This window comes from Homo sapiens, chromosome 11 (genome assembly GCF_000001405.40).
Source record: "Homo sapiens chromosome 11, GRCh38.p14 Primary Assembly".
NCBI lineage: Eukaryota > Metazoa > Chordata > Mammalia > Primates > Hominidae > Homo > Homo sapiens.
Genome location: NC_000011.10, coordinates 123,458,297 through 123,484,479, shown reverse-complemented (window position 1 = coordinate 123,484,479; position 26,183 = coordinate 123,458,297). Strand labels below are relative to the sequence as shown.

The following is a 26,183-nucleotide window of genomic DNA, read 5'->3' as shown; positions in this document are numbered from 1 at the left end:
GTTTAGATGGGAGAACCTTTGTAACATTTCCTGTGGTTGGAGGAGTGAGTGGTTAGAGAGGAGAAATTAGAATAGAATTTATATCAGTGTAAAGTCCCAAATACCAAACAAAAGGCAGAGTTCTCTCTAGTTAGCAAGCAGCTATGTCCTTGGGGAAAATGTATTAGGGTATATGCATCTCAGCACTACTCATCTCTTCCAGGAATGCCCCAAGCAGCAGAGATAATATAAAGTGAGTTGAGGAACTGTCAATCATAGAACTGGTAGAAGAAGAGCAGGCAAAGACATCACGCTCAGAAACGGACAGTATACTTCTGGAGATGTTTGGTGCACAGCACAGGGAAGGTGGCTGTGCTGGGCGACCTCTGTGGCCTCTTCTAATTTTGAGATTATGATTGCTGCAATCTAGAAAGCTTTGCACAGAGAGTGGAGGGTACTCCAGGGACTGAGAGAACTGCCATCAGATCAGATCGTACCTGATTAAGCATCTTGACAAGAATGATTAGTCTTTGCTCCTTGGAAGTGCCATGTCTCCATATACGTCGGTCTAAATTGATAAGCTGAACTGTTTTGATTAACAGGGGGCATAAAACTGAGAACCAGGGCAGAACTCACAAGACTTCATAATCTAAAGAAATAAGGACTAGAGAGGTTCCACTCTCTCAACCAGAACGAAATCCCTTTTGACACACCACCCAGCTTTTGCTTGAACACTCCTATGAAGGGGAGAGATTACAGCAGTCCCCCCTTATCTGCGGTTTGTTACCCACAGTCAAGTGTGGTCAGAAGATATTAAATGCAGTGGTGGCTAATGCCTGTAATCCCAACACTTTGCAGGGCTGAAGCAGGCGGGTCACTTGACCTCAGGAGTTGAGAGCAGCCAGGGAAATGTGGCAAGAACTTGTCTCTACAAAAATATACAAAAATTAGCCAGGTATGGTGGCAGGCGCCAATAGTCCTGGATATTCAGGAGGCTAAGGTGGGAAAATCACTTGAACCCTAGAGGCAGAGGTTGGAGTGAGTTGAGATCACGCCACTGCACTTCAGCCTGGGTGACAGAGACCCTATCTCAAAAAAAAAAAAAAAAAGAAAAAGAAAAGAAAATATTAAATGGAAATAAACAGTTCATCAGTTTCAAATTACGTGTCATCCTGAGAAGCACGATGAAATCGCTTGCTGTCCCACCTGGAACGTGAATCATCCCTTTGTTCAGCATATCCACGCTGTATACATGCCCCACCCGTTAGTCACTTCGTTCTCAGTTCTCAGATAGAAAATCCAAGCTAGTACAGCTCTATCATGGAAGAGTGCTTTCTTATCCTGAGCTGCAATCCTTCTCACTGACTTCTAACCCTCCAGTTCTATTTCTTCAGCTTTCAGATATCTAAAAATCTCTTTTCCAGGCTAAATCCCTTTCCTTCAACCAACTCTTTTTTTTTTTTTCCACCCAATCTGGAGTGCAGTGGCACAATCTTGACTCACTGCAACCTCCACCTCCTGGGTTCAAGTGATTCTGCCTCAGCCTCCGGAGTAGCTAGGACTACAGGCGTGCACCATCACACTCGACTAATTTTTGCATTTTTAGTAGAGACGGGGCTTCCCCATGTTGGCCAGGCTGGTCTCGAACTCCTGGCCTCAAGTGATCTGCCTACCTTGGCTTCCCAAAGTGCTGGGATTACAGATGTGAGCCACCTCAGAGGGCCGCAACCAACTCTTATTATAATGATATAGTTATGATATAATCATTCTTTTATGGACTCTAATGCATCCACATCCACTTTCAAAGAACTGGAATAATACACGAAATATGGTCATACTAGTACAGATTACAGTGACATCTTCTTCTTTTGTTTAATCCATGCACCATGCTCCCATGAATGAATTAAAAACTTTCAAAGATCATTTGGTAGTTGTGTCATATTATTGTTTCATATTTGGCTGGCAAATAAAAATATTCTTTCTTTTTCACATGAAATGCTATCAAATTAGGCTCCCTGCGGCAATTCTACACTTGCGAAATAAATCTTTTCTAACATAAATATACAAGATCACATTTCATAGACATTTCAAGACTTCACAGTGAGCCAGGCATGGTGGCTCACGCTTGTAATCCCAGCACTTTGAGGGCTGAAGCAGGTGAATCACTTGAGGCCAGGAGTTCAAGACCAGCCTGACCAACATGGGGAAGCCCCGTCTCTACTAAAAATATAAAAATTAGCGGGGCATGGTAGCACTTGCCTGTAATCCCAATTACTCCGGAGGCTGAGGTGGGAGAATCTCTTGAACCCAGGAGGTGGAGGTTGCAGTGAGCTGAGATTGCACCACTGCACTCCAGCCTATGTGACAGAGCGAGATTCTGTCTCAGAAAAAAAAAAAATTAAAAATTAAAAAATTAAAAAATCACATTTCCATTAAAAAGAAAATATCTCCTTGATTTCCACCCATTGTTCTACTCAAAATAATATTAAGTCTTGATTCTATCATCCTTGGTGTTCTCTACCCCCTCTCAGCAGAGGGTCCACCATAAGTTGATAAATGTGGTAAAAGTACCTTCTGCTTTTTCACCCAGCTTGTTGATAAAAACGATAAACAGAGCTAGACCAAAAGCAGAGCCCCTGCGGTAGGCCAGCTGAGACTTCCTTTTGGTTAACGTCAATACCATCAACTTTCTGTAGGCAAAGAAGTTTAACTTGCTACAGCAAATTTACCTCTGTCTACAATTCACAGGCACTGCATGAAGCAGGTGCTGGCTGGTCCTCACACTGAGTGCTTAGTTAGCTGTATCTCCAATCCTCAACCAACCATTGAAGAGCCTCCATATTTTCATTGCATCCTAGACATCCCACCTCATTTTTCATTAACGCTGCTGCCACCTGACACCATCCAACACCTGACATCCTGGGCTATGCAGCTTCCTCAGGCACAAAATGCCCTTCACCTCCTGACCCACATTGTACCCAACCTATAGGGCATGACTCAAGTCCTAACTCCACTGTAAAGTTTGTTGTTGTTGTTGTTGTTGTTTTTAGACGAAGTCTCCCTCTGTTGCCCAGGCTGGAGTGCAGTAGCGCGATCTTGGCTCACTGCAACCTCTGCCTCCCAGGTTCAAGCGATTCTCCTGCCTCAGCCTCGGAGTAGCTGGAATTAGAGGCACATGCCACCATGTCTGGCTAATTTTTGTAGTTTCAGTAGAGATGAGGCTTTACCGTGTTGACCAGGCTAGTCTCGAACTCCAGATCTCAAGTGATCCGCCCGCCTCGACCTCCCAAAGTAATGAGATTGCCGGTGTGAGCCACCAAGCCCTGCTCAGTATGAAGTCTTTTCAACCTATTTGGTTTGCCACACGTTGACTTCTTTTGCTGAACACAAAAAGCCTCTGGAACCAGCCCCTTTGTGTTGCTCCTTCTCCTTTATGGGGTGAAAGTTTTGTCTTTCTAATCAGTCAAGCACAGAGGTCTCAGGCGCTCCCATTCCTCTTCAGTTTTCCACATTTTTTTGCACAGAGCAGAGGCACAATCTTCCTCAAACATTCCACCCCACCCCCTCTATTCTTTGCCCCCATCTCGCCCTCGGAGTTGGACCTTACCTTTCTTCCCGCGCTCGAGGACTCAGGAACCTGCTAGAATCATCATCGTGGCTGCTCTGCTGACTGCTCTGTTGGCTGCTGAGGAAAGACATAGGATATCAACCGTTAACTTCAGCTTCTTTCTCAACCCTGGGGGAGGTCACTTAGACTTCAACTAGACAAAGACATGGGGTTACAAAATTTTAAAGATACAAGTTCCCCCAAGTAAGTCTAGCATAGAGAATGCACAGTTAGACCATATGAGAAATGACACAAGGCTGATAAAATCCCCAGCCATCACACCTGCAGACTGTCTGTTGCCAGCCAAAACAGAAGAGGCCCATCTCGCCCTGCTACCACACTCTTCCCTGGCTATATAAACCTCAAAGAGCAAATGCCTCCAGCATTCTCTCTACCCACTCCTCTTCCTCTCTCTGATGGGATTATAATCCCATTCTCCTCAGCCCACCGGAGACTCTCAAGCCACTGACATGGACTGGGTGGGGTGTTGTGGGGAGGGTGTGAGATGTGTGGGAGGAGGGAGATTCCGGTAAGACAGAAGACTAGATGGGGCCAGGGGTCACCTAGTCTGCTTCTCCAGTAAGGCAAAAGGCTGGATGGGGTCTGGGGTCACTTAGTCTGCTACTCTGCCTCCAGGGGAGGCTGAGGCGGATGAGAAATAGAAGAAGGAATAAAGGGTGGACTCTCCACACCTTAAGGCACTGTAAGTGAGATAATTACACAGCTTTAGTTCAGGCAGAGTTCTTTTGGGAGGTCATATCTTATAATAATACGGGAAAGAATGGCCTTTCCTCTTACTCCAGAGAAAGAAAAGCTTATCAGACACTTCATGACACTAACTGCTGGCATAGCTGATGAACAAATCATTTTTATTAATTATTATTAAATACTCCAGCCATCTGATCAGGAGTCCACAAACTAGAAACTCTAGGCTCAATCTAGAGCCACGTGTTTTTGCTCAGCCCCGTGAGCTAAGGGTGGTTTTTGTACTTTTTAGTGGTTGGAAGAAAAAAAATCCAAAAAAGAATATTTCATGACAGGTGAAAATGATGTGAAATTTAAATTTAGTGTCCACAAATGAAGTTTTACTGGAACACAGCTAAGCCTACATTTACATATTATCTTTGGCTATTTTCCTGCTACCATGTCAGAGCTGAGTGGTTAAGGCAGAGTTGAGTAACTAAGACAGAGTTGTGGGCACCATAGGCCCACAAAGCCCACAATGCTCACCATCTGGCCCTTTACAGAGAAAGTTGGCCAACCCCTGTTTTACATAGGTTCTATTAATAATAAATCCTTATTACCAGGAAGTTGGCCAACCCCTGCTTCACATAGGTTCTATTAATAATAAATCCCTATTACCATAAATGTCACTATAACCAAGGCTACCACATAACCAACATTTTCTCCTTGTTCTGGTGGATCGCCTGCTGCACTAAGATGCATTGGTCTCTATAGAGTATATTCCTTAGCCTAGATGCCCAGTAGAATGCACACTGGACAATCTTGCCGAGCAAGTGCTTGCTCCAGTGTCTGTACACTCTCAGCCAAAGCACATGAGTTCTGTGGTCACAGTTACCACATGCTCTTATGTTCCGTTCTTCCAGCAAGAAGTAAATGACCTGAAAGGCAATTAACATCCAATTTTCAAACACAGACACAAGAAACCATACACGTTACCACACACACCAGAAACCGGAACAGCGCCATACACAAAGCCTCCGGCTGCTCGGCAGAACTCACTGTGTACGGAATCCCTTTCTCCTTCCCTTCCATGCAGCACGTTTTTACAGCTCGTTCACTATGCAGTGGCTGCTCATCATTTTCACTTTGCCAGCTCGGATGGATTTGCCTATTACCAACTCCACATAACCAAATTTCACTATAATGTCGTTAACTCATGAGATGTCTTACTTGGAACTGGCCTGTTATATGAATCAAGCATCCCCTTATATACAACCTGGGACAAGTGTTACTCCACAGTAGGCAGCACACAGATGACTGTAACTCAAATTCCAAAGCCCACACAGCTCCAGAAGCAGGGTCTACACTGTGGGAGAACACACCATTTACAACAGTCAACAGGGCTCAACCAAGCCAACCACAATCAGCATTGCAGCCTCTTCAAAGCAGGGGTCAAACTTGACCCCGCTGAGCCAGGATGGGCTGGTTCTTCCTAGTCCCCCTATCCTCCCCCGGCAATCAAAATTTTAAACTAATAAAGGGGGCTCCCAGAACTCAAGGCCATCTACCAGGATTTCAGAAAAATAATTCTAAGCTGATATTTGCAAGTTTACCCACTAGATGGCACTGTAGACTTCCAAACCAGAACTACAAGGAAAACCAATAAGGAGCCTCAGGAACCGGAACCAGGAACTGCCTCCTTTCTGGCGCCCCTCTCTGGCCTGCCTTCCCATGGCTTAGAAAACAGTTCAGATGGCAGAGAAGGCAGCAATGGGTCATGTTCAAACTGTGTATTGGTTTCAAATAAATATCAAACTACATGCATCCAACAAGTATTCACATCACGCTATGTGTACACGAAGCATCATCAAGACAATGGTTAAGAGTCTACAGTATGGAACCAGGCGGGTTGGCTCATGCCTGTAATCCCAGCACTTTGGGAGGCTGAGACCGGAGGATCGCTCAAACCCAGGAGTTCCTGATCAGCCTGGGCAACCTGGTGAGACCCCATCTCTATAAAAAAAAAATTAGCCAGGCATGATGGTGTACACCTGGAGTCCCAGCTACTCGGAAGACTGTGGTGGGAGGAAGGAAGGACAAAGAAAGAAAAAGAGAAGAGGCTGGGTGTGGTGGTTCACGCCTGTAATCCCAGAACTTTGGGAGGCGAGGCGGGTGGATCACCTGAGATCAGGAGTTTGAGATGAGACTGGCCAACATGGTGAAACCTCATCTCTACTAAAAAAAATAAAAAATAACAAATAAAAAAAATTAGCCAGTCTTGGTGGCAAGCGCCTGTAATCCCAGCTACTTGGGAGACTGAGGTCAGGAGAATCACTTGAACCAGGGAGGCGGAGGTTGCAGTGAGCGAGATCGCGCCACTACACTCCAGCCTGGGCGACAGAGTGAGACTCCATCTGAAAAACAAAAAAAGAGAAGAAAAGGGAAGGAAAAGGGAAAGGGAAAAGGAAAGGGAAGGGAAGAGAAAGGGAAAGGAAAGGAAGGGAGAAGGAAGGGAAAGGAAGGGAGAAGGAGAAGGAAGGGAGAGAGAAGGGAAAGGGGAAGGGAGGGAAGGGAGGGGAGGGGAGAGAGAGGGAAAGGAAGGGAGACGGGAGGGAGGGGAAAGGGAGGCCACTAACAGATAAAACTGTCTTTTGGAAACCCTGAAAAAGAAACTCTAAACTAGGATTTGGAATGACTTTGCCTTGGCACCGATGACTGAAAGATGCCTTAACACTGCAAAGAAGGGAATTGTATAAGCAACTGTTTGCCATTCGCTCAAGACAGCTAGTCCAGTGACAATTCCATTTACCACTTACCGTTTCCATTTTCATTTCCATTTTCCATTTACCACTCTCAAGTACCCAGCACTGTGCTAGGGGAGGGGAGGGGAGGAGAGGGGAGGGAAGGGAGAATGAAAGGGAGGGGAGGGAGAGGGGAGGGGGAAGGGAAGGAAGGGGGAGAAGGGGAGAGGATGGGAGGGGGAGAGGAGGGGGAGGGGGGAGGGGAGGCAAGGGAGAGGGAAAGAAAGAGAAAAAGAAAGAAAGAAGGAGGAAAGAAAGAAAGAGAAAGAAATGTGAAGTATGAAAAAGAGCATCTGCCACATTTTAACTGCTATGTAAATGCCAGGTGCCATTATCCTATATGCAAGGCATCATTTTATGGGTTATAGGAAAAGAAAGACGTGAATCAAACAAGGATCCTGCTCTCAAAGTGCTTAGAATCAGGAAAGTAAGATTCAATATAAATAACTATATTTAAAAGCAGAAAAATGATAACTCTCAATACTATGTATTAAGTGCTATGGGAACACAGAATGCAGAAATGTCATGTCCTTCTGGGACCAGTAAGACAATTCTGTCTTAACAACAAGATTTTTGTGCTGCCACTTAAAACTGGATAGACTCAAGACATGCAGAAATGAGAAGAAAAGGCATTCTAGTTCAATTCCGTTTACCACTCTCATGTACCCAGCACTGTGCTAGGAGACAGTACTGTAAAGATGATCAGGACAAGGTCTCTCCAGCAAAGAGCTCCCAGTCTAAGACATACAAATATTCACCGTGGACTGTGATGCAACAACAGCAGAAAAATGAACAAGGTGTAGCTGGTGGACACCTCTGTTGGAAAGCTCCAGGGAACACATCAGAGAGGTGAACATCGAGCTGGAGGGACTCTAGATAAATCCATGGTGGCAACAGGCATAGGGTATATACAGGATCTTTCCTCCTCCAGTACCCTCGGCAGAGGCCTGGCCCTATTTCCTCCCATTATTTGAGCTTGTTTTTCAACAGTCTTAAAGAAGTTAAATGGGCCGGGTGCGGTGGCTCACGCCTGTAATCCCAGCACTTTAGGAAGCCGAGGCGGGTAGATCACCTGAAGTAAGGAGTTCGAGACCAGCCTGGCCAACATGGTGAAACCCTGTCTCTACTAAAAATACAAAAATTAGCCAGGTGTGATGGTGCACGCCTATAATCCCAGCTACTCGGGAAGTTGAGGCAGGAGAATCACTTGAACCTGGGAGGTGGAGGTTGCAGTGAGCCAAGATCGTGCCACTGCCCTCCAGCCTAGATAACAGAGACTCCGTCTCAAAAAAAAAAAAAAGAAGTTAAATGGATGAATTGCTGCCAACCACTCCTCCACTCAATCCCATGAAATAATATTGTTGAGCAGAATTTCCAGAGATTCAGACACTGCCTCACCCTCTCACACACACCCTTTCAATTCTTCTCTTATATGAGCCTTTTTCAATGATATAGGCCACCTGGACCCCAGGCAACTCACGCTGCTCCCTAAATAAACCTACCAGTCTTCGGAGACCATGAAAAGAGCAACCTCCAGGCCAAGGTGTTTATAAAGGAGTGCAGCATGCTACAAGGTCAAAAAGCACACCTCCCTCCACTCCAGATTAGTCAAGGCCTTAGTGGGAGAAGACATCCAGTCTGCGTCCACTCTGGGATTCAGGAGGTTGAAAAGAACTTGGAGAAAGTCCAGCAGAGGGCACTAACAGATGAAACTGTCTGTTGGAAACCCTGAAAAAGAAACTCTAAACTAGGATTTGGAATGTCCTTGCCTGGGCACCGGATGACTGAAAGATGGCTTAACACTGCAAGGAAGGGAATTTGTATAAGCAACTGCTTGCCATTCGCTCAAGACAGCTAGATATGGAACTAGGATGACTTTAATCCCTCCTGCTGTACATTCAAGCTTCAGATAAAATTCACTGTATAAATTAAATTTTGGAACACTAGACCATGTTCCTAAATAAGATGGGAAGCTCTTGGTAAAATTCTGGGATATTCCTGAGGGAAACCAGCTGAAGCAGAATCCTGGTTTTGTTTAAGACCAGCGTGCTAGTGCAGGAGCTTATCCTGGAAGGTCACATTAATACCAGCAGCACTGGAAGGACTGGGAAAAATCCACAGGAATCTGAGCCAAAGCACGCTCCACAAGGGAGAAATTCACTAGGCTTTGACCAGGAAGCTCTGCAATGCGGGCTGGGCAAATTCTCATGATTCCAGTGATCTCCCTTCCTCCCTCCCTGTACCCAGGACACGTGCAGAAAGTACAGACTAAACCCACGAACCACCAGGAAGCCGTCCTTCTGCCCTCTGAAAGGCACGGCTTTACTGCTAGAAAGACGGAATATGGCAACCTCTACTGAGTAGGTGCTTCCTAGGGAGAAACAGCTCTTTCTCTTCCAGGCAACCCTACAGGAGTCATAGCTTCCTATGCCCAGAAGGGGTTCTGAGAGATTCAGGTGGTCCCAAGCCGTCATGGGGGCATGTAGGCTGTAATGCAGTATTTCCAGAGCCTGATGGAAACTACATTTACCCACACCCAGGCTGCAGAGACTAATGTACTGCATCTCTTTACTTCTGGCTGCAACTGAGGCAATCTCTCCTGTTAGTATCAATTATCTCATGCTAATTAGAAGCTGCAAAAGGCTCTGAGTGGCAGTTATAGATGTCTTTGTGTCTTTGTTAATAAAAATGGGGAAATATATTATTTTAAGCAGTGATACAGTAGAAATAGCACCAAGGCAGACAAACCTGGGTTTGCCCCCTGCCTTTATTTGTTTTTTGTTTTTCTGGATTGAGGTCCTTGGGACATAGGCTTTGTTTCTTATTAGCCTTCTAACCTTGGCCAAGTCACTTATCCTCCCTTAGCCTATTTCCTGAAAAATGGAGACTTATTGCGATTACTCACAACTTAGTCCTCTATTTATAGAACTGCACAGAGGATTAAGTTGTGAATAATCCAGTCACAGTATCTGAGTTCAGGATATGGCGTCAGAGAGACGCACATTCTAGTCCTGACTCTGCCACTTAGCAGAGGGGGAGATTGAGAAAATTATTTCACTTTTCTAACAGTCAGATGTGGGTAATAATGCATGCCTTAAAAGACTGCAGTTCTGTTGGATTCAAGATTGCCATTACTTTAAAAAAAATTAAAAGTTAAAAAAAAGAAAACATTGCAGTGGGGATTAGAAATGGTAGAAATCATCTGTAGAACATGTTTAGGGCAGTAGCAGGCCCTTGGTGAGTGTATCATAAATGGTGGATATCTATTACACTGAGTATTCAGTTAGTGTGTCAGAATATTTTGAAATAGCCAGTGCATGGGAGAAAGATAACAGAAAAGGCCCTTAGCCTGAAAAGTAGGGCCTCACCACCACTGACAGAAGAGAGAGCTGGGTTTTCATGCTAAATTATTTCTACATATAAAATGACTCTGGCATTTACTATTTCAGCTTAAGTAGGAAAGGTGTATGGGGGAAGAGAAGGCAGGTAGCAAAGATGGAGAGAATAAAGGAGGAGTTTCTGTGTGCCACCTGGCAAGCAGGTATGGACAAGTCTAATAATAGAAAATAAGTAAACAAATGTGACTGGGGTACTGCCACCTCCTTACAGAACATCCCTCAATATCCTCAAACACCACTTAGAAATAACATACTTGAGGTGAATATTGAGAATTTGTCTACCGAGTTAGAAGGTTCACTTCTGCTTAATAGCTCCCATGGGAACCTGCAGCAAGGTGGGTAGAATCCCTGGTCAAAGATTCAGGGATTCAAAATCCAGCTAAATATCTTCCTAGCTCCTTACAACTCATGAATACTTCTCTATTTAATGGTTCTTGGGACTGGGTGAGGTGGGTCACACCTGTAATCCCAGCATTTTGGGAGGTTGAGGAAGGAGGATCTCTGGAGCCCGGGAGTTTTGAGACCAGCCTGGGTAATACAGTGAGACTTCATCTCTACAAAAAATAAATGAAAACAAAAATTAGCACGGTGTGGTGGTGTGTGCCTGTAGTCCTAGCTACTGGTGATATGGGAGTTAAGAAGAAATTGTCAGGGCACGGTGGCTCACGCCTGTAATCCCAGCACTTTGGGAGGCCGAGGTGGGCAGATCACCTGAGGTCAGGAGTTCGAGACCAGCCTGGCTAACATGGTGAAACCCCGTCTCTACTACAAATACAAAACTTAGCCAGGCATGGTGGCAGACTCCTGTAATCCCAGCTACTCGGGAGGCTGAGGCAGGAGAATTGTTTGAACCCGGAGGCAGAGGTTGCAGTGAGCCAAGATTGCACCATTGCTCTCCAGCCTGGGGGACAAGAGCGAGACTTCGTCTCAAAAAATAAAAGAAGAAATTATTTAGGCAGATAGTGAGGGTAAGGAAGTCCTCCGTAAGATTTTCCTGTTAATGAAAAGCATCCCCCAAATCATTTTCTTTTCTAACAAAGAGCAGCCTGTAAAATTTAGCTGCAGACATAGACAAGCAAGCTGGAAGCTTCCATGGGTGAATGCCAGCAGTTGTGCCAATAGGAAAAGGCTACCTGGGACTAGGCATGTTCAAAATGGTGGCTCCATCTTCCCTTCTCTTTGCCAGCCACATGTATGGTAAGGAGCAGACAACATGGTGCCAGCCAAGTGGAAAGCCCATCTGGATAATAAGATTAGGGTGGAGTGGCCAGCCTTCCCCCTGGGCTATGTAAACGTCACACCTGGTCCAACCAGTCTGTGAGCCCTATATAAATCAGACACCACCTCCTCAAGCCTGTCTATAAAAATCTGGTGCACTCCACAGCACCTGGCGTAATTCCCATTTGGGTGCCCCTCTCTCTCACAAGAGTGAGTTGTTCTTTCTCTTTCTTTCGCCTATTAAACCTTCACTCCTAAACTCACTCCTCATGTGTGTCTGTGTCCTTAATTTTCTTGGCATGAGATGACGAACCTTGGGTATTACCCCAGACAACAACGCTGCTTCACCGGGGAGGCCGAGGTGGGAGGAACGCTTGAGCCAAAGAGATCAAGGTTACAGTGAACTATTATCACACCACTGCACTCCAGCCCAGGCAACAGGGTGAAACCATATCACTAAAAAAATAAAATAGTTCACCTCTGAACATGCCCATGTCTGTGTTTAACAAAAGAAAAGGCTCTCTCTCCACTTCTTTCTTTTTTCTTTTTCTCTTTTTTTTTTTTTGAGACAGAGTCTTGCTCCATTGCCCAGGCTGGAGTGCAGTGGCATGATCTTGGCTCACTGCAACCTCTGCCTCCTGAGTTCAAGTTCCCACCTTAGCCTCCTGAGTAGCTGGGATGACAGGCCCGCACCACCATGCCTGGCTATGTTGGCCAGGCTTGTCTTGAACTCCTGGCCTCAAATGATCCACCTGGATTGGCCTCCCAAAGTGCTGGGATTATAGGCATGAGCCACCACACCCAGCGTTAGTTTTCCTCTCTTGATGGCCATTTTATTGCAAGAACATACATACTACTTTGTAATTGCTGAACTTCCATTAAAACAATATTATAATAAATTCAGGAGCTTTACTATGCAGATTCCTTGGCCCCTCTCCAAATGTATGAAGTCGGAGTATGAACCTGTCCAGGTATACGTATTTTTAAAAAGCTTAAAAATGATTCTGGGGGGCAACCAGGATTTGAGGTTCACTGGATGTTATACTCAATGCCCCTACTTCTTCACCACTGCTTTATGAATTAATCTATTGCAATGTGCACCCCAAGCCTACCTCTCCTTGGTTTTATCAGCAGGGACCTCTGTTACACCAAGACCAACGACAATAGTTAAATCTTAATCTTTGACCAGCCAGGCAGGTCTGACATTGATGACTATTCTCCTTCTTGAAACGCATATTTCTTGCATTCTCTGGCATTACTCTCCCCTGTTTCTTGCGTTTTGTCCTACTTTCACTTCTTTTTCTGGGGAAGTTTCTTGGGCTCTTCTTCTATTTGGTCCTAAAATGTTTCCCGGGACTCATTCAGACACTCATTTAAAATTACCAAGCATCAACTATGTACTAAGCATTGTTCTAGAATCTAGATACTGGGTATAGAGCAGTAAACAACACAGATGAGGTCTCTGCTCTTAAGGAGTTTACATTCTATTGGGTTCCTGCTTCTTCCTGTTTTATATCAGGGAAACCTAAGTTTTGTGGACCTCTGAAATTGTTATCAATATAATGTGCAATAATACTATATGTTCCTGAGAGAAGTTTACAGCCTTCATCAGATTCTCAAATATGCCTGGGCCCATATGAGGTTAAAATCTACTGCAATTCATCTCTTTGTGAGATCTTATCACACTCAAGGCTTCAATTATTATGAATATGCTGATAACTCCCAAAGATAGCAGAGCACAGAACTGAACGATGTGGTCACTCGTCACATGCGGCTACATAAATTTAAATTAATTAAAAATGCAGTTCCTTAGTCACACCAGTATTTCAAGTACTCAACATCCATATGTGGCTCGTGGCTTCATTGTGGACAGTACAGATAGAGAGCATTTTCATCACTGCAGAAAACTTTATTGGACAGCACTGGTATGGATCAAACCCAGGATTTGAGTTCTAGCTTGGCCACTTGTTTTCTTAGCAACTCAGAGCAAATTTCTTAACCTCTCTCTACATTCCCATCCTTTTATCTGTCAAAATGTAAGCAACTTTACAGACCTGTTGTGAGGATTAAGCAAGTTAATTAATATCCAGCACTTAACGTGGTAGCCCTTCCTAGTTTACTTTTTGTGTTCCAAGCTCTTGTGTTCTCTTACTTGGGAGGCTGAGGCAGGAGAATTGCTTGAATCCGAAAGGTGGAGGTTGCAGTAAGCCGAGATCGTGCCACTGCACTCCAGCCTGGGTGACAGAGTGAGACCCCGCCTCAAAAAAAAAAAAAAAAAAAAAGAAAGAAAGAAAGAAAAATGTGAGTTGGCTGGGCATGGTTGCTCATGCCTGTAATCCTAGTATTTTGGGAGGCCAAGGTGGGGTTATCACTTGAGCCTTGGTGTTTAAGTCCAGCCTGGACATCATGGTGAAACTCTATTTTTAAAATAAATAAAAGAAAAAAAATATGAGCTGCTCTCGGCAGTTTTGTAAGTAGTAACTGTCTTCTAAATAAGAAATGGTTAGCTTTTGTATGGTTTTGTGTGATGAGTTGGAGATAATATGGAGATAATATTTTAAGTGTCTTCTGTGGTGTGGGTGTGCAAGCCCTTGAGGAATTGATTTCACTCTTGCATGTGGGCAGGAGTCCTGAATATGACTTGATCATGGAGAACCTCTGGTCTGTAGACTGGTCTTTGTGGAACCCAGTAAAGTCAGTGTGAACCATAGTAAGCTCATCTAGGGTGTCCTTATCTATGTCATTAGAGAGATGACTCTATTTCCCCATACTTTGTTATTTTCTCGCATTCCCTTTTTGTCCTCCTATGCCATACATATTTACATCAGAGTTGTAACATTTCAATATAAAGTCATTTAAACAACAACAACAAAAATGCAGCACTTAGCAGAAGGCTTGGCAAGTAAATAAATACATCCCCAACAACTGTTAATAATGTTTATTTTTTTCTTGTGCCATCAGGTGGAAGAAGAAAAAGAGAGGAAGGAAGGAAGGAAGGAAGGAAGGAAGGAAGGAAAGAAAGAGAAAGAAAGAAGGAAAGAAAGAAAGAAAGAGAAAGAAAGAAAAAAAGAAAGAAAGAAAGAAAAGAAAGAGAAAGGGAAAGGACAAGAAAAAAATTAAAAATAATACTTATTTTTAGTATCGTATAGTTGCAGAGGTACAGAGCTCTCTTAAATGTCCAACAGGAGTCTCAAACTGAGCATTCCCACCACTGAATTCACCATCTTTTTCTCCTCTCCTTATACTCCACAAGTAAAGATTCATATGAACTAGAAATGCAACCCCACATCAGTTTGACACCAAGTCCTACAGACCTTACTTCTTTAGTGACTCTCGAATCCATCCGCCTTCCATTCATCACTCCGACGGCCTCTGTCTGAAACCAAGCTCTCATCACTCCTCACCCAGATTACTTTAATAGGCTCTTCACTGCCCTCCCCATTGCCACTCTGGCCCCACTCCAGTCTATCCTGACACTGAAACAATGGTCTTACAGAAACACAGATTTAATCATGTCTCTTCCTGGCTTAAAATCCTTTAGCCTTCCCATGATTTCCGAGCAAGTTCCAACTCCTTATCTGAGCAGTAACAGCCTCATAACCTGGCTATTGCCTCTCTACCCAGCTCCCTCACGTCACCTCCGCTCTCCACTCCAGCCCTTCTACTTGCCTCTGCCTTTTAATTTGCCTTTCTACTGGCCTGGTAGAGCCTTTTCTCTCACCCTTCTTTGTCCCAGCTTTGGACTGCCTGAGTTCAAGTCGACTCTTCCACCTACGCTGCTGATGTCCAACCTCTATAAAATGGGGGTGACAATAGCATCTATGTTCTTGGGGTTTTGGGAGAATTAAATAAACACCCACACATACTTGGAGAGATGAGTAGACACACAATATTATAGCTACTATTATTCTTCAAAAGTAGTAAATCTTCCTTGGTGACCACCACCCACATTATGGTCCTATATCACCCTGCACTACTTTTTTTTTTTTTTTTTTTTGATACAGGGTCTCAATCTGTCACCCTGGCTGGATGCAGTGGCAGGATCTTGGCTCACTGCAACCTCTGCCTCCCGGGCTCAAGCAATCCTCCCACCTCGGCCTCCTGAGTAGCTGGGACTATACAGTTGTGCCACCATCACACCGGGCTGATTTTTGTATTTTTTGTAAAGATAAGGTCTCACCATCTTGCCCAGGCTGGTCTTGAACTCCTGGACTCAAGGAATCCACCTGCCTCAGCCTCCCGAAGTGCCAGGATTACAGGCGTGAGCTACCGCACCTGGCCTGCACTAACCTTTATCATAACAATTATCATACTCCTTGGGATGCAGCGATTAATGATTCATTTCCCTAAACCTTCTACCATACTATAAATTATTTGAGAGCGATGGTCCCATTGTGTCATTTTTTTCCACCCACAGTGCCTAGCACATATTAGGTGTATAATACATATCTGATGAATGTGCAAATATCTAGCCCTATCCTCCCTTGATGTATTTGTAAAAGTCTCCACTTCCACTGAGTACTCACTGGTCTGCCCAGAAAGACGCCTTGCTGAGTACTCTCAAATCAGCACAGATTGCACCTTCCTTCCTTGTGCATACTTTTTGAACATCTATGTTGAAAGTACCCTGAGGCTGGGTGCGGTGACTCACACCTGTAATCCCAGCACTTTGGGAGGCCAAGGCGGGTGGATCACGAGGTCAAGAGATTAAGACCATCCTGGCCAACGTGGTGAAACCCTGTCTCTACTAAAAATACAAAAAAATAGCTGAGTGTGGTGGGCATGCCTGTAATCCCAGCTACTCGGGAGGCTGAGGCAGGAGAATCGCCTGAACCCGGGAGGCAGAGGTTGCAGTGAACTCAGACTGCGCCACTTCACTCCAGCTTGGCGACAGAACGAGACTCCATCAAAAACAAAAAAGGAAAGAAAGAAAGGAAGGAAGGAAGGAAGGGAGGGAGGGAGGGAGGGAGGGAAAAGAAAAGAAAGAAAAAGAAGGAAGGAAGGAAGGACCCTGCTAGGCCGTGCTGGATGTGTAAGGCATGGCCCGTGACCTCAGGGAACCCACCACTCCTGATATGTCATTCATCCATCCATGTTTCCACCAACTATGTTTTAGGCATTGGTTCCAGACATCTGGCGATGCCGACTTGAATTAGACATATGTGGACCTTCCCCATAAAGAAGCCACTGTAACAAAACCCGCCAGAATCTTCCTAATGCCAGGGCTCCTCTTTCCTGCCCCCGTGTCAAAGTTGTGGTCCAATTCTCAGTTATCCAACATGAGGAAGCTGCATCTCAAGCCTGACAGCGCCTCCATGAGAAGGTGGGCAGGAAAGAATATGGCTCTCCATTTAGGCACAACCAGTGAAAGTCAGTAAAAAAAAAAAAAAAAAAAAAAGGTGTTGAAAACCAAGGCTACAACGTTTTTGTTTGTTTCTTTCTGAATTATCTATGAGTATTAATTTTTTAAAAAATTGAGACAGGGTCTCCCTATGTTGCCCAGGCTGATCTTAAACTCCTAGGTGCAAGCAATCCTCCCACCTCGGCCTCCCAAAGTGCTGGGATTACAGGCGAAAGCCACCACACCCAGCCTATCTATAAGCTTTAACTTTTCATGCCAATCCTTAGCTCTCGTGAATACAGATCATGAAGCTCTGGCTAGGAAAAATAAATAAATATTCTTTATCCTTTTTCACAAAGGGTAAATGATCCCTCACCTACAATAAAATTCTAGGCCTATCACCACACATAATTAAAATAATTATACTTACCCCATTATATTCCTCAAATGGGTTCTGAGAAAAGGGGCAAGGAGAAACTGTCAGCTTTAACTCTCTTCACTTGCTCTTAGGTAAAGGAGCACACCACCTTTTTCTAGTTTCCCACATCCTACTAGCTTCCTTGGCCTCAATCACTACTTAACTTCACAGTGAAATCTTCAGCTCTCTCAAGAGAATAAATACAAATTAACCAGATCCCTTACTAAACCTTTACTCAGAAGGTAATGTGGTCAACCAAGTTGCTTCCCAGAACTTGAAGTTTGTAAGAATTGGTCAAAACCCTGGACCAGCCTCAAGGCCAGCCTCCCTCCACTCTCCACACACGCACCATCCCCTCACTTTCCCCCACCCCTACTCCCTGGGTCCCCTTCCTGCCTGTGGAAAATCTCTTGCTTCCCAATGCAGAGTATCCATGTTGGAGAAAGAAGTCAGTGCTGAAAAGCTGCAGAAAGTTCTTAAGCCCAGGGCAAGCCAGAATCCATTTTATGCCCAAATCAGTCAGTCAATCTTTTTCTTTCTTTCTTTTTCTTTCTTTCTTTCTTTTCTTTCTTTCTTTCTTTCTCTTTCTTTCTTTCTTCCTTTCTTTCTTTTTCTCTTTCTTTCTTCCTTTCTTTCTTTTTCTTTCTTTCTCTCTCTCTTTCTTTTTCCTTCCTTCCTTCTTTCCTTCCTTCCTTCCTTCTTTCTTTCTTTCTTTCTCTTTCTCTCTCTCTCTTTCTTTCTTTTCCTTCCTTCCTTCCTTGACAGAGTCTCACTCTGTCACCCACGCTGGAGTGCAGTGCTGTAATCCTGGCTCACTGCAACCTCCACCTCCCAGGTTAAAGCCATTCTCCTGCCTCAGCCTCCCAAGTAGCTGATATAACAGGCGTCCACCACCACTCCCAGCTAATTTTTGTATTTTTAGCAGAAATGGGGTTTCACCATGTTGGCCAGGCTGGTCTTGAACTCCTGACCTCAAGTGATCCGCCCGCGTAGGCCCCACAAAGTGCTGGGATCACAGGCGTGAGCCACCATGCCCAGCCCAAATCTTTATTTTCAACAATCAGTATGATCTTGAGCCCTTTAACTAAACTGCTCCAGTTTAATGAGGAGTTCGAGTATTTTCTCCATCCATTTCCTCTCACAGAGTCAGGCCAGTACACACAGAGAGCTTTCACTTCTGTTTCCTACAATGTCCCAACTTCCTCTCCACCAAGAACCCTCAAACAATATTCCTAAGTGTGTTTCTTTTTTTTTTTTTTCTTTCGAGATGGAGTTTCACTCTTGTTGCCCAGGCTGGAGTACAGTGGTGTGATCTCAGCTTACTGCAACCTCCGCCTCCCGGGTTCAAGTGATTCTCCTGCCTCAGTCTCCCTAGTAGCTGGGATTACAGGTATGCACCACCACACCCGGCTAATTTTGTATTTTTTTTAGTAGAGATGGGGTTTCACCATGTTGGCCAGGCTGGTCTCAAACTCCTGACCTCAGGTGATCCGCCTGCCTCTGCCTCCCAAAGTGCTGGGATTACAGGCATGAGCCACCACACCACGCCCCAAGTGTGTTTCTAATGAAAGACACACAACTACCATTCAGAGCTTCAGGTCAGCCTCCAAGGACATGTCTTACCACACTGGATTGATAGAATTCAAGCCAAACAAAGGAATGTTTTAGGTTGTCTTGTTACAGAAAAATGTACGTGTGGTTTCTGTTAGGCTTCTGGAAATGCGAAAACACCTAAAGGAACTCCTCTCTCTAAGGAGCCATCGACTTGGGCTTTCAACATACATACCGCTCTTTGCTTGATCTCTACTTGGCTTCTCTTCCCCTACCAACCTCTGAAAAGTTGCCCCTAGAGTTCCATCCAGAGTCTCTTTCTCTTCTCACATGACACATTCTCCTCCAGCAATGCCATCCATATCCATGGCTCGGACAAAAAGCCACATGTTCACTCCCAAACCTGTATCTAAAACTCCTAGTGTTCCACCAAGCTCCGGTCCCCCATATCCAGCTGTTTACAGGATGTCACCAAAACCCTACCTCCCTAGGCTCATCGCACAGCCTGTCCAAAACTACCCCTTCCCGCCTCCCACACCCTCACTTCTCCCCAACAACTTCCATCTGCCTTCCTTAGCTCAGTCACCTGCATCACCATCCCTCCACTTAGCTGTACAAACAAGGAAACACAGAAATAGTTCCAGCAGTTCTCTCTCCTCCACTCCCTACCTTCGATCTATCACTGAGTTATATTAGCTCCCACCTTTGAAACATCTTTTATATCCATCCTCTCCTCTCTATTCCTATTATCCTTGCTCTAGTCCAAATATCAGTACCACCTTGGCTGCATAAGAATCACCTGGAAACTTTTTAAGAAAAGAAAAAGGTTCCCATTCCCTCATTGATCCTGGATTCTGATTCAGGGGGCCTGGGTTGGAGCCTGAAGGAGTTTTAACAGGCATCTCAGGTTTGAAAACTACTGACATCCCACTCTATTGAAACGGTCCTTTATCTGTGCTGACAAATGTTTAACAACTAGATTGGTGGAGGGGGCTGATTTATATTATTTGCCAATTTCTGCCATGTATACTCCCACCATGATTGATTTCTGCTATCGGTGAAATTGGCATTGGGAAATGATATGCACAATCGGCGTCTACAAGTGGATGCCAGCTGGCCCCAGCATGCTAATGTGCCTAGATGTTATTATTATTATTATCATTATTACTATTTTAGAGGCCAAGTCTTGCTAGCTCTGTCTCCCAGGCTGGGGTGCAGTGGCATGAACATGGCTCACTGCAGTCTTCAACTCCCAGGCTCAAGCAATCCTTCCACCCCAGCCTGCCGAGTAGCTGGGACCACAGGTGTGCACCACCACACCCAGCTAAATTTTTTTTTTTTTTTTAGAAATGGGGTCTCCCTTTGTTGCCCAGGCTGGTCTTGAGCTCCTCGGCTCAAGCGACCCTCCCACCTTGGCCTCCCAAAGTGCTGGGATTACAGGCATGGCCCACCCCTGTTATCTTCTAAAACAGCTCTAGTCAAGTCTCTTCCCAAGTTACAGTCTCTTGAAGTCTTCCTATAATGTCATAGAATACAGTCCAAAGTTTTCTGCCTGCCACACAAGGCCTTACTACATGAAACTGACTTCCCCAGCAGAAAGCTCTTCCTGAGGCCTTTACACAGTTTTCCTTTCTGGGGCTCGTGCTCCCCAAATCTCCCATGCACATTCATTCCTGCAACTTCGTGCATGTTGTGCTCTCCACTTTCTCTTCATTTCCCTTCTATATGATCCATATCTTCCACCCTGGCCTATTGGGCGCTGTGTCACACAGAGGCCTGTCCCTTCCCTTGGTGCATTCAAATATTAACTCATTGACTTTTTTCTCTGCTGACCCAGAGCTCTGTCTCCTTTGAGCCATAGGACTAATGACAAATCCAAGTTGGCACAGTTATTACCAGTGAGACGGTAGCTCTGCCCGTGTGGTGGAGAGAACCTGTTGGCTACATCAGAGAACACCTCCTTTAGTGCAAACTCTGGCTGCTTTTTTCAATTCATTCAAGATACTGCATACTAATATGTTGTATTTAATACTAGGAATAAACCTTCCCATTAAAACACTTCTTCCCCATCTACAAAGTGCTCCCATGTATATGCTTCCAACTTTTTACCCTCATCAGGTAAATAAGAAGTGTATACACTCTGATCCCCATTTTAAAGATGAAGAAAATAGGCTGGGCACGGTGGCTCATGCCTGTAATCCCAGCAATTTGGGAAGCCAAGGCGGGTGGATCACTTGGGGCCAGGAGTTGGAGACCAGCCTGGCCAACGTGGTGAAACCCCGACTCTACTGAAAATATAAAAAATTAGTCAGGCGTGGTGGTGGCCCATGCCTGTAGTTCCAGCTACTCGGGAGGCTGAGGCATGAGAATCACTTGAACCTAGGAGGCAGGGGTTGCGGTGAGCCGAGATCGCGCCATCGCACTCCAGCCTGGGTGACAAAGTGAGACTCCATCTTAAAATAAATAAATAAATATAAATAAATAATAAAGATGAAGAAAATAAGACTTCACAGGGATACATGGCACGTCTATGAGCAAACTGTGCTGGTAAGCTAAGAAACAGGGATTTCTTTTTTTTTTTTTTTTTTTTTAATTTATTTTTTTATTGATAATTCTTGGGTGTTTCTCACAGAGGGGGATTTGGCAGGGTCATGGGACAATAGTGGAGGGAAGGTCAGCAGATAAACAAGTGAACAAAGGTCTCTGGTTTTCCTAGGCAGAGGACCCTGCGGCCTTCCGCAGTGTTTGTGTCCCTGATTACTTGAGATTAGGGATTGGTGATGACTCTTAACGAGCATGCTGCCTTCAAGCATCTGAGAAACAGGGATTTCAGTTTAAGGTTTTTTGTCCCTGAATTCTTTATTCTTTCACCTTAAGCACACTCCAGTGCTGGAGCGTAGCATTCACTTGGAGAAGGGGTGGGTGGCAGGGATAACCTCACTGATGAGACTGAAGGGACTCTGAGCTTGGGCTGGGACTCAGGGGCTGAGCTGAGCTTGAATGTTCACTCTGCCACAAGTGTCAGCCGTCTCTGCTTTGCAGGTGGCAGCCCTCAGCTAGAAAGCAAGAGCATCTGGGAAGTCCAAGGCAAGTGAAAACCTTGAAACAAGAAGTAACGAGTCTGCTCTGCCCAGTTTGAGGCAGTTTGTCAGGGGATGGCACCTGCCACTGAGGTCACAAAGCCACAGGTGAAACCATAGAAATAAACAAATGACTGGCCCGGCACGGTGGCTCACACCTGTAATCCCAGCACTTTGGGAGGCCAAGGCGGGCAGATCACGAGGTCAGGAGATCGAGACCATCCTGGCTAACATGGTGAAACCTCATCTCTACTAAAAATACAGAAAAATTGGCCAGGCATGGTGGCGGGCGCCTGTGGTCCCAGCTACTCGGGAGGCTGAGGCAGGAGAATGGCGTGAACCCAGGAGGTGGACCTTGCAGTGAGCCAAGACCGTGCCACTGCACTCCAGCCTGGGCGACAGAGCAAGATCCCATTTCAAAAAAAAAAAAAAAAAGAAATAAACAAATGACCATACCAGAAAAAAAAAAAACCTGCACTTGAAAGTAGAGCTATCTTGGCCGGGCGCAGTGGCTCATGCCTGTAATCCCAGCACTTTGGGAGGCTGAGGCGGGGGTATCGCATGAGGTCAGGAGTTTGAGACCAGCCTGGCCAACATGGTGAAACCCCCGTCTCTACTAAAAATACAAAAATTAGCCGAGTGTGGTGGTGGACACCTGTAATCCCAGCTACTCGGGAGGCTAAGGCAGAAGAATCACTTGAACCCAGGAGGCAGAGGTTGCAGTGAGCCGAGATCACGCCATTGCACTGCAGCCTGGGCAACAAGAACGAAACTCTGTCTCAAAACAAAACAACAACAACAACAAAAAGTAGAGCTGTCTCAACAACCAGCTGGGGAAGAAACCATAGACAATCCAAAAAAGACAGAGCAGTGTGCCAAGGCATAGGCCAGGACTTCCCAGAGCTAGAGCCAGGGCTGGAGAGACTTCTAGGAGGCCAGTGACGTTTGGCCTGCAGCCCAAGGGGGAGTCTTTGGGAACCAGAGAGGCCAGCACCACCTCATTTAGCCACAAGGACAGGAATCACAAGGGCTCGGCCAGCTGCAGACAGAAATGCTGGTGCCCTGGGGGACTCTTAGGAAACAGTCCTGGTAGCAGTGCCAGCTTGGCTTTTCTGCCAGCTGAAGTCAACATAGCTTGATTTAGGAGCCAACCTGGAGTCAGTCGGGGCAGCTGATTCCCCAGAAAGACGACTGAACTGACAAGAACATTTTAGAAGCAGCCCAGGCAACAGGAGCACTGGTCCATTCACATCTGATTGAAGACCAAACTCAATTAAGACTCAATATGTTTTTAAGACATTTTTTATGACTATGGCTTCCCAACTGGCTATTAATTTTGCTATCACCTGTTTCCCTCTAGTCAACACAAGCCAAACCTCTTAAAAAGCCAAAAATATGTGAATTCCAAAAGGTCACGAGGTGGGAAAGACACAGAGAGCCTTGTGTTCTTCCTGGACGGCCCAGGAAAGAGGCGCCCAAGGAAAGGAGAAGCTGATGCACCTGGGAAGGCAGATGGATTCTTGGGTCCTAAAGGGACAAAGGAAACGTAGGAGCAGGGGATTCATGCAGAAACCCTATCAAAGACCAACCGCTCTAGTGACCTCGGAGCTCAAGGACAAGCAGCCCGCAAGCTGTGCTGTTTTCCAGAAAGAATCCTTTCAGCTTCCTGCCTCCCCTTCCCTGCCCCACTCCTGTCCGCCCCCCAAATCCTGCTGACCCAACCACCATCCAATTTCATTTGCCCTTAGCCCCGGGAAAAACTGGCTTATGGTAAAAGCATTATCTTGTTTTTTCCAATTGGAAGACATAAAAACAGTCCTAACCAAAAACTCTGGTCATTAACACTCACAGAGTGCCCTGGGGGGCCTGGGGAGAAATCCCCGCATTGACTGGGGCTGGAGTCACGGTGTCTAGGTGTAATTGCCACAAATCTGCCCAATCACGCTCCTGGCCTATATCCAATTAACCCTCTTCAAGTTCAGTCCCGGAACCCACTGAACTTGGACAAGAACATAAAAAGGATTTTGATGGTCCACAAAGTAGATAATTCATGTACTTTAATTCATCTACTATATTTTCTACTATATTCATCTACTATAATTCATCTGTTTCCACAATGCCATTTTCCACTCAGGATTAAACTCCATGTCTTCTCTGCCAAGCACTTTGACAGCCTTCTGATAAGCTTGTCATACCACACATGGTCACTTTTCAGTAGCATGGAGGCAACAGGTACTGGATAATTCAGGATATCGAGCAGAAGAAAACAGAAGTTGACTAATCCACAAACCATTTATTTTTAGTTTGAGAATTTTAATGAAACACACACACACGTATGTCCAATCACACTCCTGGCCTATATCCAATTAACTCTCTTCAAGTTCAGTTCTGGGACCCACTGAACTTGAAGGGACAAGGGTGAGGACAAGGACATAAAAATGGACAAGAACATAAAAAGGATGTTGATGCTCCATAAAGTAAATAATTCATTCACTCAGAAAACACTTTTTGAATGGCAATCTGTACACAGAAAACAGATGAGAGGCAAGCTTTGGGTGAGCCAGGTGTCCAGTGAGAAGGTAGCAGAACAAATTTACCTAAGACCCAGCCCTGCCCTCCAGAACCTCAGTGTGTGTTTAGGAACAGGACTTAAAGTATAAAGATAGTTGTGAATAACCAGTTCACATCATAGGGGAAGGGTCAACTAACAGGTATTTGAGTACCTAGTATATGGATTTTTTGCACACTATCTCACTTAAAAGTCAGTATTTGAAGAAAATAATATTCTTCTCTCTCTTTTTTATCAAACTCAATTCTTTTATCTTCAATTCCTTTAAATCATGAATATGGCCGACCACAGTGGTGCATGCCTGTAATCTCAACAATTTGGGAGGCCGAGGTGGGTGGATCATCTGAAGTCGGGAGTTGGAGACCAGCCTAGACAACATGGCAAAACCCCACCTCTATTAAAAATAGAAAATTAGCCAGGTATGGTGGCTCACACCTGTAATCCCAGCTACTCTGGAGGCTGAGGCAGGAGAATTGCTTGAACCCAGGAGATGGAGGTTGCAGTGAGCCCAGATCATGCCACTGCACTCTCGCCTGGGTGACAAAAGCAAAACTCCATCTCAAAAAAAAAAAAAGAAGATAAGGGTTCATGAAGATTTTCCCATGATCAGCAAATTAAAAAAAAATATATAGAAGTGTCTTATTTCTTTGCAATCAAATACCCCAATCTGCCCTAACTCCAAGGGCTGGTCACCATAACTATAACCCATCTACAATGCAGTGCATGTTCTTTGTCATCTACACAGCCTCTGCTACAACAAGCTCCTAGAAACACTTTTCCAAACTCATGGCTAGGAAGGCCATTGTGTCTGTGATTGTCTGAATATTCTGTTAACTCCGCTGTGTATTACGGTGTGCATTAAGCATTAAAGTGATTGTTCTCACTGAGCTCAGACTCAGAGTTGGGGGGAAATTACAGGAGCACAAAGGACTAGCCCCAAAAGAACCTCCACTTCAATCACCAAGCCATACCTGGAACTACCCATTTGCAGACTTGAAATTTGAAAATAACCCACCCGTATACACACTCTACATGTTGAGAGATACTTGTTCTTATCACTCAGAATGCTCCCATTCTCCTGGAATTTTTTGCCCATTACTCACATTGGGGAGTATGAAGAGGAGGGGAAAAAAAAAAAAAAACAAAACAGCCTTTCACTGTTTCCTTATCTAGGATACTGTTCATCCTATAAATCAAAAAAGGGATTTGCATCAAATTCTTTATGACCATTTTCTTCTCAGATTGATTTTAGTGAGAAGGTAATTGTGATGGTTAATTTTAGGTGTCAGTTTGACTGGATTAAAGACTACCTAGGAACCCGGTAAAGCATTATTTTTGGGCGTGTCTGTGAAGATGTTGCCAGAAGAGATCAGCATGTGAGTCTGAGTGGACTAGGTGCGGAAGATCCGCCCTCATTGTGAGTGGGCACCATCCATTCTGCTGGGGGCCTGGAAAACAAAAACTGAGAAAAGGTGAATATGTGAATGGAACTGCCAGAGTTGGATTATATTCTTCCTCTCTCTGTCCCTCAGTGGCT

At 44.9% G+C, this 26,183-nt stretch overlaps 1 protein-coding gene across 25 annotated transcripts in view, besides 5 other annotated features; it reads right to left on the bottom strand.

Annotated features, from left to right (window-relative positions):
- GRAMD1B (GRAM domain containing 1B) overlaps nucleotides 1-26,183 on the bottom strand; it is a 269,346-nt gene that overhangs the window by 143,288 nt on the left and 99,875 nt on the right. For 16 of the 25 annotated variants that reach the window (NM_001367421.2, NM_001367420.2, NM_001367419.2 and 13 more), the window contains one exon: nucleotides 3,587-3,664. The exons of 2 other annotated variants lie outside the window; for them this stretch is intronic. In NM_001367421.2, coding sequence (NP_001354350.1) covers nucleotides 3,587-3,664 — 78 coding nt within the window. Of the gene's footprint in view, nucleotides 1-3,586; nucleotides 3,665-10,929; nucleotides 11,024-15,001; nucleotides 15,079-26,183 lie in introns of those variants that run through there. 7 more of the 25 variants (XM_011542926.3, XM_047427321.1, NM_001387026.1 and 4 more) reach the window with 3 other exon arrangements.
- Nucleotides 1,291-1,340: an enhancer, noted in NCBI's record as "active region_5686". NCBI's record gives its function as "activates an Ori minimal core promoter by ATAC-STARR-seq in GM12878 lymphoblastoid cells {active_cell/tissue: GM12878}" and the evidence as "EXISTENCE:reporter gene assay evidence [ECO:0000049][PMID:35858748]".
- Nucleotides 2,573-2,662: a silencer, noted in NCBI's record as "silent region_4017". NCBI's record gives its function as "represses an Ori minimal core promoter by ATAC-STARR-seq in GM12878 lymphoblastoid cells {active_cell/tissue: GM12878}" and the evidence as "EXISTENCE:reporter gene assay evidence [ECO:0000049][PMID:35858748]".
- Nucleotides 3,900-4,019: an enhancer, noted in NCBI's record as "active region_5685". NCBI's record gives its function as "activates an Ori minimal core promoter by ATAC-STARR-seq in GM12878 lymphoblastoid cells {active_cell/tissue: GM12878}" and the evidence as "EXISTENCE:reporter gene assay evidence [ECO:0000049][PMID:35858748]".
- Nucleotides 4,060-4,109: an enhancer, noted in NCBI's record as "active region_5684". NCBI's record gives its function as "activates an Ori minimal core promoter by ATAC-STARR-seq in GM12878 lymphoblastoid cells {active_cell/tissue: GM12878}" and the evidence as "EXISTENCE:reporter gene assay evidence [ECO:0000049][PMID:35858748]".
- Nucleotides 5,765-6,059: an enhancer, noted in NCBI's record as "tiled region #13459; HepG2 Activating DNase unmatched - State 12:CtcfO, and K562 Activating DNase matched - State 12:CtcfO". NCBI's record gives its function as "activates a minimal TATA promoter and a strong SV40 promoter by Sharpr-MPRA in HepG2 and K562 cells {active_cell/tissue: HepG2 | K562}" and the evidence as "EXISTENCE:reporter gene assay evidence [ECO:0000049][PMID:27701403]".